The 10,048-nt window shown below is 38.6% G+C and overlaps 1 protein-coding gene across 6 annotated transcripts in view; it reads right to left on the reverse strand.

Annotated features, from left to right (window-relative positions):
* Positions 1-10,048, reverse strand: part of ST8SIA6 (ST8 alpha-N-acetyl-neuraminide alpha-2,8-sialyltransferase 6) — a 139,175-nt gene that overhangs the window by 60,178 nt on the left and 68,949 nt on the right. Inside the window, exon 4 of one of the 6 annotated variants that reach the window (NM_001345961.2) lies at positions 3,759-3,827. The exons of the other annotated variants lie outside the window; for them this stretch is intronic. The gene's annotated coding sequence lies outside the window, so the exon portion shown is untranslated. The remainder of the gene's footprint in view (positions 1-3,758; positions 3,828-10,048) is intronic. 6 annotated transcript variants of the gene reach the window in all.

A 10,048-nucleotide genomic window follows, 5' to 3' on the forward strand; every position in this document is an offset into this window, starting at 1 on the left:
TCAAACATAGACACTCACCTATGGCGTAAGCCGCACTTAGTCTGTGCAAGGCAGATGTTCCAAATCTTGATTCTGAGCATTTGTATTTTACCCCAGAAAGCTATCTGAATACAAGTGAGCCCACCATGCATGCCCTAGCAATTGTGCAGAAAGTTACAGGGCAGTGGCTTACATGCTGTTCCTTAGAAGACATCTCAGTCCCTTACTAGAGGATCTATTTAAATGCTCCGGTGCTCAGAAGATGTACAAGATTGCTGTTGTTTAAAAAAAAGTGTTTCTTCCCACCTTTAAGAGACACCCTAGAGGCCTATAATCAATAGAATGATCAGAATGGTAGAGCTATTTAATACATACGTGGCAGAGACGCCTGGCGGATTACCACTGATTGGTGCTCCCTTTCTGTAGTACACACTTGATGCTACAAGCAGCTGCCCAGCCAGACACTCCATTCCCAAACACCCACCGCACATCAGTGCCACTTGCATTTTATTAGTCAAAACCCCCAACATGTCTCTAACATCTAGAAGGGTCAGTCCCAGATGGCAGAGAATGGGAGTGATGTGCGCCCCCTGCAGGCTGCGTGCAGTATCCGCTTTCTCTTTATTAGTAGCTACTCTTTGAGCAGCAAGATGGTTGAAAATGGCTTGATCTTAAGATGGAAGGAACCAGTATCCCTGAATCAACATCTGGGGGAAAAGCCACCCAGGAGCGTTGCCTGATAAAGAAGGAATATTTTACACTGTGCGAGAGAGAGTAAAATTTTGTGCTCAGACTTCCGAGAGCTTTTATTAGAGCAGTGTGTCTACTCTAACCAAATGGTAGAAACTGAACAAACCTAATGGTCCATTTTCTTGGGAGCCAGGACTCTTGGGGGAAATGAAAGAAAAGCATAAAAAAGAGAAGGCAAAACAACAGAAGCAGAAAAACCCAAGAAAAGGAAATAAGTTGATTTCCTGGGTCAGCACCTCTAAGTATCTGCTCTTAGAAAAATCATTTCATTTATCTGAGGCAATGAGGAATAAGATGGACAGCTTGGATATCCATAGAGACATTTTTCTAAAAATACAGGCAAGAAAGATTACAAGTAATAAGTTTGTCATACTAAAAAATGAGCGAACTAGCAGTGATAAGATGGCTATAAAGCATTTTTAATACAGTATAATATTTTATCTGGGAGATAACCTACTAGAAAGAATAGAGCTGCAGAAAGGCAGAGAAATATTCAAGGGAAGAGGATGGGGTAGAAAAAAAACAGAAAAGTACAAACTCAAAGTAAGAGAAAGAGTCAAAGAAGTTAAAATAGGTTTCAAAAAAGTATTGGTTTATAGATTTATAATTTTTTTTACATCTAGGAATTAGAGTTTGTCAAGCCTCTGAGCCCAAGCTAAGCCATCATATCCCCTGTGACCTGCAGGTATACATTGAGATGGCCTGAAGCAACTGAAGAACCACAAAAGAAGTGAAAATAGCCAATTCCTGCCTTTACTGATGACATTCCACCATCATGATTTGTTCCTGCCCCACCCTAATTAACCAGTTGACCTTGTGACATTCCTTCTCCTGGACAGTGAATCTCAGGAGCTCCCCACTGAGCACCTTATGACCTGCCCCTGCCTGCAAGAGAAAAAACCCCTTTAACTGTCATTTTCCACTACCTACCCAAATCCTATAAAACTGCCCCACCCCTCTCTCCCTTTGCTGACTCCCTTTTCGGACTTGGTCTGCCTCCACCCAGGTGATTAAAAAGCTTTATTGTTCACACAAAGCCTGTTTGGTGGTCTCTTCACATGGACACGCCTAACAGAGATGGTATAAAAATGCTTTGAAAACCTAAGAAAAACATTCATTTAATTATTTGTTTATTCAACAAAAATTAATTGAGCAACTGCTATGTGCTGCACCCTTGTGATTGGCACCAGGGGATAGGCATGTGAACAAGACATTGTCCCATTCATTTTGGAGCTCAAAATCTGAAACACAGAATAAAGAATTATGGCACAAAAGACCCTATCCCACTTGTTCTCCTAATGGCAACTGCCTAATTTTCATTTATTCAAAAAATATAGTTAAGACTAGGGGAGAAAAAGAGCACTTTTCCCTCCCACTATAACTCCATCTTTCTAAATCCTATTTTAGCAATGTGAAAGGGACAGATAGGCTGAAGAAAGAGAAAATTCTAAGTCTTTAACAGACCATGACAAAAATAGGGCCAGATAATTATTTCTAAGAAAACGAAATTACTTTTTTATCGCCATACACTGAATGGCTTTCCCCGTTGTGCTCCCTAAGTCTGTAATAGCACTGATTATGGAACACACAACCCCTGACCATAGACAATACAACCGAAAAATTAGTCTCCTGTGTGCAAAACAACACTTTTATAACAACAGGCAATTCATGCCTGCTCTCTCTAGACCTTTGCCAAACAGAATACCAGTGCAGGCTAATTATATAAGCCAGCTGAAAATTGCGTGTGTTTAATGGAAAGGCATCCCCTTAAAGAATAGCTGAGAAAAGGTCTTAGCACCAAAAACAAAACAACAGAGAAGGAGTGAGAAGGCAAACATGGGGGTATGGGCACCCGGCATTCTCATTAGCATACCGCAGTTAACCACTTTTGTTGATGCACATCAAAGAGTTGTCAAATTCTCTGCCTTGAAAAAGATGTCTTCCATGATTAGAGAATTTTCATCCTCGCTCACTCAGGTGTTTTGCAAAAACACACAGCTATTTGTCACTCTCAAGTTGAGAACTTTTGTCACTTTGGAAAGCAAAAACGGATAATGTCAGAGACCACTGAAGAGAGTCAAAGGCAAGTTTTACTCACTAATTTGCACATCTGTCAAGGAATATAGCCAGCTTTCCACAGGGTCCGATGGAGCAAAGGCCAATTTTCCCATTCTACTTTTCCTGCATCATTTTGTCTATGTCTGATGTGTGGAGGGTGCCACAAAAGGTTTGGAACTCAAGTCCCTCAGGAAAAGCTTCATAAAGATCCTCGTGTAACACCCGCATACCCAACAAACAACAAACAAAACAACAACTTCAACATCAAAACCGGCAAGTAGTGCATCTCCAATGCGTGAACTACTTTAAGTCCACCCCCAAAATCAGTGACTTTATCATGAAAGAGGAGAAGCATTTGCAAAAGTGTTCCAACCAGTCTATAGAAACCTAGAGTCCTGGCAGGAATGATGGCCTGCTCCAATGAGGGAATTTAAGAAGGGATTAAAGGAGGGACTTTTCAGCCAGGCACGGTGGCTCACACCTGTAATCCCAACACTTTGGGAGGTCAAGGCGGGCGGATCATGAGGTCAGGAGATCAAGACCATCCTGGCTAACATGGTGAAACCCCGTTACTACTAAAAATACAAAAAATTAGCTGGGCGTGGTGGCAGGCGCCTGTAGTCCCAGCTACTGGGGAGGCTGAGGCAGAAGAATCGCTTGAACCCGGGAGGCAGTGGTTGCAGTGAGCTGAGATCGCACCACTGCACTCCAGCCTGGGTGACAAGAGTGAGACTCTGTCTCAAAAAAAAAACAAAAACAAAAAAAACCGAAGGGACTTTTCCCAAAGATCTAGCTAGGCAACTTGTAGAGAAATACAGGTACAATAGTAGGGGACTATTAACAGCTTATCCCTAAGTTCAAGGGTCCAGTGGAGGGAATGGGAGAGAGGCAGAGAGAGGGAAAGCTAGAGTGAAAGTGAGAGAGAAAGAGTAAGAATGAGAAAAGGAGAGGGTGAGAGACCTAATAATCACCTTAGCGTTTGTTCCGTGATGCAGCACTTCTTTCAGTCAAGGATGTAGGCCAGGAGTGTCGGGTCACACCTGTGAAAGGAAAATATCTTGGGCCCCCAAAATCACTAAGGAAAACTCAAGCTGGGAACTGCTTAGGGCAAACCTGCTTCCCATTCTATTCAAAGTTATCCCTCTGCTCATTAAGATAGATGCATATCTGATTGCCTCCATTGGAAAGACTAATCAGAAACTCAAAAGAATGCAACCGTTTGTCTCTCACCTATCTGCGACCTGGAAGTTCCCTCCCTGCTTGGAGGCTTCCTGCCTTTGCTTCAAGCTGCCCCACCTTTCCAGACCGAATCAATGTACTTCTTATATTGATTGATGTCTCATGTCTCCCTAAAATGTATAAAACCAAGCTATGCCCGACCACCTTGGGCACGTGTCATCAGGATGTCCTGAGGCTGAGTAACAGGTGTGTCCTCAACCGTGGCAAAATAAAAACTTTCTAAATTAACTGAGATCTGTCTCTGATTTTCTGGGTTCACATTTTGGTAACCATGAAGGGATTCTGAGTGGAGATGCCCCTCACCTTTGACAAATCTCCTTTTGGTGCCTAGTACCAGCATGAGCTAACTTTATAGCTCAAACCAATAGGACAATTTGCTGAGGTCTGAGAGCACCCTCCAGAGAATCCCTGATCTCCCAAAATTTGGTTGAGATCTAAAGTTTATTTTTCTGTACAACTCCTTTTTGGGGGGACTTTACTTGCTTCCAACAGGAAGGCAAGTTTTCCTGCTTCCATGTCGATGGAAGACAGGTACCTCCTTTATGGACCTTGAGCTCACTTCCAACAGGGAAGATAAGTTTTGTTTTGTTTGTTTTTTTCCTGCTTCTAGCATGGTAGAGAGCAGTCTACAGCTTGAGACCCATGACTAAGTAAGAAACTGGTTTGGGATTCCATCTTGCCAATTATTTTAAACAACAAAAGTTAGTATTTAACAACCAGCTGGTGTTAATGTCTGCTTACACTTACAGCACTCAGAAATCATATAATTTGTGTGATCATTGTTAGTTTTGCTTAATGGTTTTGTTTTTTCTTTCTGTCTTGGTCAAATCTGAAGGGGAACCCTAAATTATGGGGAACAGGGTCTCTGAAGTGGGAGGAAAATGGCCATCAAAAGGAAAAAAAAGATTTTTAATTTTAACTACAAAAGGGGCTTTATTTACATAACAAGGCCACCTTTTTGCCAGCCAGACCAAACTGAAAGAGCAATGGCTGTACTTCTGAAATAGCAGCATTTTGTCCTAGCTGAAATATGGTAATAAGATTTAAAAAACAAATTTGTGTAAGGAGCTCCATGATTAAAAGTCAGCTTAATGAAAAGGCTAACAGCCAAGATGTGTGTGTGTATGTGTTCATGTTTGTGTGTATGTGTTCATGTTTGTGTGTATGTGTACATGTTTGTGTGAATGTATGTGTACGTTTGTGTGTTTGTATGTGTACGTTTGTGTGTTTGTGTGTATGTGTTTGTATGTGTACACGTTTGTGTGTATGCATATGTGTATATGTGTGTTTGTGCGTGTGTGTGTGTGTTTGTGTGTATGTGTACGTGTTTGTATTTGAAAGGCCTTCATGTTTTGAGGGGTTTTTTTTGTTTTTCTCTCCTAAGATTTTGTCTTTTTTTGAGCAAAAGTTTTTTTTTTTCTTTATCTTCTCAGTTGAACGAGTTCTGTCGTCACCTGATTGTTTGACTAACATAGTTATTGAAACAGAGTTTACTCGGGTTTTTAAGGAAGAGTGTAGTTTAATTTGACTCAAATAAAAATGAAAGTGTCTCCCTCTAGTACCACCAGACTTATTCTCTCTATACCTTATGATGTAAATTTTGCTATTTGATTTTCATCTGAGTTGTTTCCTTTAATGTGCAAACTTAAGGCTATTTAGCTGACAACTACCTAGGGTTGTAAAACACATTATCAAGAATCTGAAAGTCTATAATAGGAAAAAGGGGGTGGGGTTATAAATCTATAAAATGTACCTCCATCGGCATGCCTAATACGTCTTTATATGTTTTTAGGTGTTGTGTACACAATGTTTCACTAGTAAAAATACACAAAAGAGCTCTAATTAATTGGCTTTAAAAAAAAGTGCTTAAATCAAATACCAAAAAAGACTAGTCACATGCTTTTAAAGGTTATATAACTTAAGTAAAATCTTTAATAAATAAGCTGGCTTTAAAATTATTGGTAAAGTAATATTATAAGTGTCTTAAGAATTGCCAGCACACATTTTTGTTTGCATTTATTAATCAAGCAGTTTCATACTTATCCTTGCCAAATACTATGAGGTGTCAAAATTTGGCATGGGTTACAAAACTGTAAACCCAGCCCCAAACAGAATGATCTTTGCTTGTGTAATTTTTAATAAGTGAGACATTGATATGCGTTTAATGAAAATAGCTGTATCTCAAATTTAGTAAGATTATCATAACTTCTAATCCTGTGGCTTTAGGCAGTCTAGTCCACAGACAATAAAGAGGTTTGTTTTGGGAAAGAACTGTTATCGTCTTTGTTTCAAAGCTAAACTATAAACTAAGTTTTTCCCAAAATTAGCTTGGCCTGTGTTCAGGAATGAACAAGGACAGCTTGAAGGTTAACAGCAAGATGGAGTCAAGTCAAAATTTTTTCACGGTCTCAGTTATAATTTTGCAATGGTGGTTTCATAACTTTAAATCATGACTATCACAGTTTTCATAAATAATCTAGGTAAACTATTAAAATAAATAATTACGTAAATGTAATGGGATAAATACTTGTAGACAAACTGGTCATAATTTAGAATATAAAGTTGTATTAAATTAAATAATAGATATTTCATATTTGGGAATTTTCCAATAAAAGAAGTTTCAGTGATAATTTTTTTTTTAATTAAGTTTATTACATCCATGTATCTTCTTGCTCTTATCACCCAGGCTGGAATGCATTGGTACAATTTTGGCTCACTGCAACTTCCTCCTCCCAGGTTCAAGCAGTTCTCCTGCCTCGGCCTCCAGAGTAGCTGGGACTACAGGTCTCCGCCACCATTTCTGGCTAATTTTTGTATTTTTAGTGGAGACAGGGTTTCACCATGTTGGCCAGGCTGGTTTTAAACTCCTGACCTCAGGTGATCTGCCGGCCTCAGCCTCCCAAAGTGCTGGGATTACAGGCGTGAGCCACCGCACCTGGCCCCTGTATATGCTTTTAAAGTCCTTGTTAACATTGAGTTACAGGGCTTTAACTCCTGGGTTTGAAAAGGACATCAAGTCCTGCTAAATCTTAAACACTGATAGCAATTAAAGCCTTATCTTCAGGCCCCGTACAAGATGCCAATCAAAATAAACTGCATGCCTGAGATACAGGGCAAGAAATTAAAGCTATTCAACACCTCAAGGCCCAGGGACTACTGTGAAAGAGGTGGGCCCATAAGATCGTAAGGGCCGATTTTGAAAGTTAAAATAAGTTTAGTTTCTCTATAAATTAACCATTAGTGTCAAAGGCACACTGATGCAAAACTAGTATACGGATCCCTGTGTCAGATTAACAAGATTTTCTAGAAGCATTAACCAACTCCTTAATAAAGGTTATAAAGGTTATAAAAGGCTTGTGGAAGTTATATTTTATAATGAAGATTAAATTTTATAGACTGTTTACAAAATTTTGAACAAATGTAATTGGCTTCATGCTGTTTTTATTAGGGCTTCTTGTTTAGAAAATTAAGTCTCTTCTCACAAAGAATGAAGGTTTTCACTTTTTTTTTTTAATACTTGAATTATCACTTTGGTTAAATAAATGACTTCACAATGACCTGTAATCCTATTTTGTAATATCAAGTGTTTTAAACCTTTGATATATGACAAACTTTCTAAAATCAAATTATCAATTATGTCTTTTTCTAATCTAATTAATCCTTTAAGACATTAGGTTCCCTAAAGTCCAAAAAATGACATAATTTGGCTTATTTGGTATAAAAATTATACAGGAAGCATTGTCAAATATAAAGTGGTATTTAGTTTTCTTAGGGCTGTATTTGTATAAATATGTTATTGATATGTGTTCCAAAATTATGGGAAACTCCTGTAATTCTGATATACCTTAGTGTACCTTATCAGTAATAATCATAATTGTTATAATCATTGTGTGCCACAGAGATAAATTTTCTTGTCAATTGTGTTTTTTGACTATGGCTGTCTTAAAACTTCTTTTTCATCCATGGACAATTGTTGTCTTGTTTTGTTCCTCTTTAGAGGGTGGTTTTATAATCAGCTATAAAACTTCAACAGGTGCTTTTAAATGCACGTTTCTAATAACTTTGTAGATTGTGATATCAGAATGCAGGAAAAACTTTCAGAACTCATGGAGAGCTAAAATATTCATGAGTATCAAGCAAAACACAGGAATTAACTGCATGGACTAAACCAATCCTTTTGACTTTTTGCTTAAAATGTTTACTGATCCTTTGTTTTGTTTTTCAGACTCTTAAAACATTTCTTTTGAGCTACTGACAGCTTGTAACAATTTAGTATACTCCCATGAACAAAATTTGGAGCATATTTGTTTCTAACTGATTTCTCTGGAATTTGGAAACTATTTGTGTATATTCTTAACTTATGGCAATACAGTTATTTGCGTAAGTGCAATAGGAATCTGTTTTCATTTGTGACAGGACACAATTGGAGAAACTGGTTATTTTACCAAGGCTTTGACTGGAATGATGTGCTTTCCTTTAAAGAATCAAACTTGACTTACGGAGCCAATAAAGCCCTTGGAAAAACTGGCCTCAAATTTTGTGTACACAGTCCCTGTACAGGGTTTCTGACCTGTGGTAAAAACAGAATGTCACTTTCTGACAGGCACAGTACCCCCAGGATAAACTTGGAACCTCGAGAGGAAATTCACGAAACTCGTAAGTATTTGATGGCACAAATCCATGACTGGGCTTGGCTTTTAAAAAGTCTTATCTGAGATTGCTTCTATGGAACAGAGTTCCATCAAAGCCAATTTAAAAAACTATGTAAAAAATAATTATTCATGCTGCACTATATACAAATAATTAGGCCAAGTATAATAAGCAAACCAGTGCTACCATGATTTGTCTTTAATAACATGGGAAACTGGAGAGAGAAAAAAATTGTGTTTCAAAACGATAGTACACGTGTTAAATTCTAGTCTTGCCTAATGTTTTCTTTTCCATTTTTATTATTTTCTACAGTTTGGACCAAATTCTAATTTTTCTTGGCTGCAAGTCTTCAAAATGATGTTTTCATTTTTTTTTCCAGTTTTCCTAATTTGGAGTCACTAAAATCTAAGCTGTGCTTTCTTCAAACCATGAGAACTGAAGCCAGACAATTTAAACTTAAGAAGAAAATAACAGCAACCAATTTACATACATAAGCTACTTTCATACCTACTTACTAATGTATGGACTTCCGAGTAATTGGCCTATATCAATTTTTCCAGGATTGTTCTTTTGTTTGTAGCTTTTTCCCCCTTCCTCCCCCTAATTTTCTTTTCACAGGACAGGAGACTTCACAACCTGCTAAAATGAACTTTCGGGACCTACCCATCTAGGAGTAAACCATCCTAGCAATGAAAGATCAGATGAAATCTGAAACCAGAGAGTCTGTTTTGTTTTTTGTTTGTTTGTTTGTTTTTTTGTAAAATCATTTCTCCAAAAGATTTTAAAAAAGAAAAAGGGTGAAATGTGAAAGGAAAATATCTTGGGCCTCCAAAATCACTAAGGGAAACTCCAGCTGGAAACTGCTCAGGGCAAACCTGCCTCCCATTCTATTCCAAGTTATCCCTCCCCTCACTAAGATAGATGCGTATCTGATGGCCTTCCTTCGAAAAGCTCATCAGAAACTCAAAAGAATGCAACCATTTGTGTCTCACCTATTTGTGACCTGGAAGTTCCCCCCACACTTCGAGTCTTCCTGCCTTTGCTTCAAGTTGTCACCCCCTTTCCAGACTAAACCAATTACTTCTTACATATAATGATTGATGTTGTCACGGTGTCTGTGTGAAGAGACCACCAAACAGGCTTTGTGTGAGCAATAAAGCTTTTTAATCGCCTGGGTGCAGGCGGAGTGAGTCGGAAAAAGGAGTCAGCAAAGGGAGATAGGGGTGGGGGCAGTTTTATAGGATTTAGGTAGGTAGTGGAAAATGACAGTTAAAGGGGGTTATTCTCTTGCAGGTGGGGGCAGGGGTCACAAGGTGCTTGGTGGGGAGAGCTGGAGACATATTGTCCAGGAGAAGGAATGTCACAAGGTAAT

Source organism: Homo sapiens, chromosome 10 (genome assembly GCF_000001405.40).
Source record: "Homo sapiens chromosome 10, GRCh38.p14 Primary Assembly".
Lineage (NCBI taxonomy): Eukaryota > Metazoa > Chordata > Mammalia > Primates > Hominidae > Homo > Homo sapiens.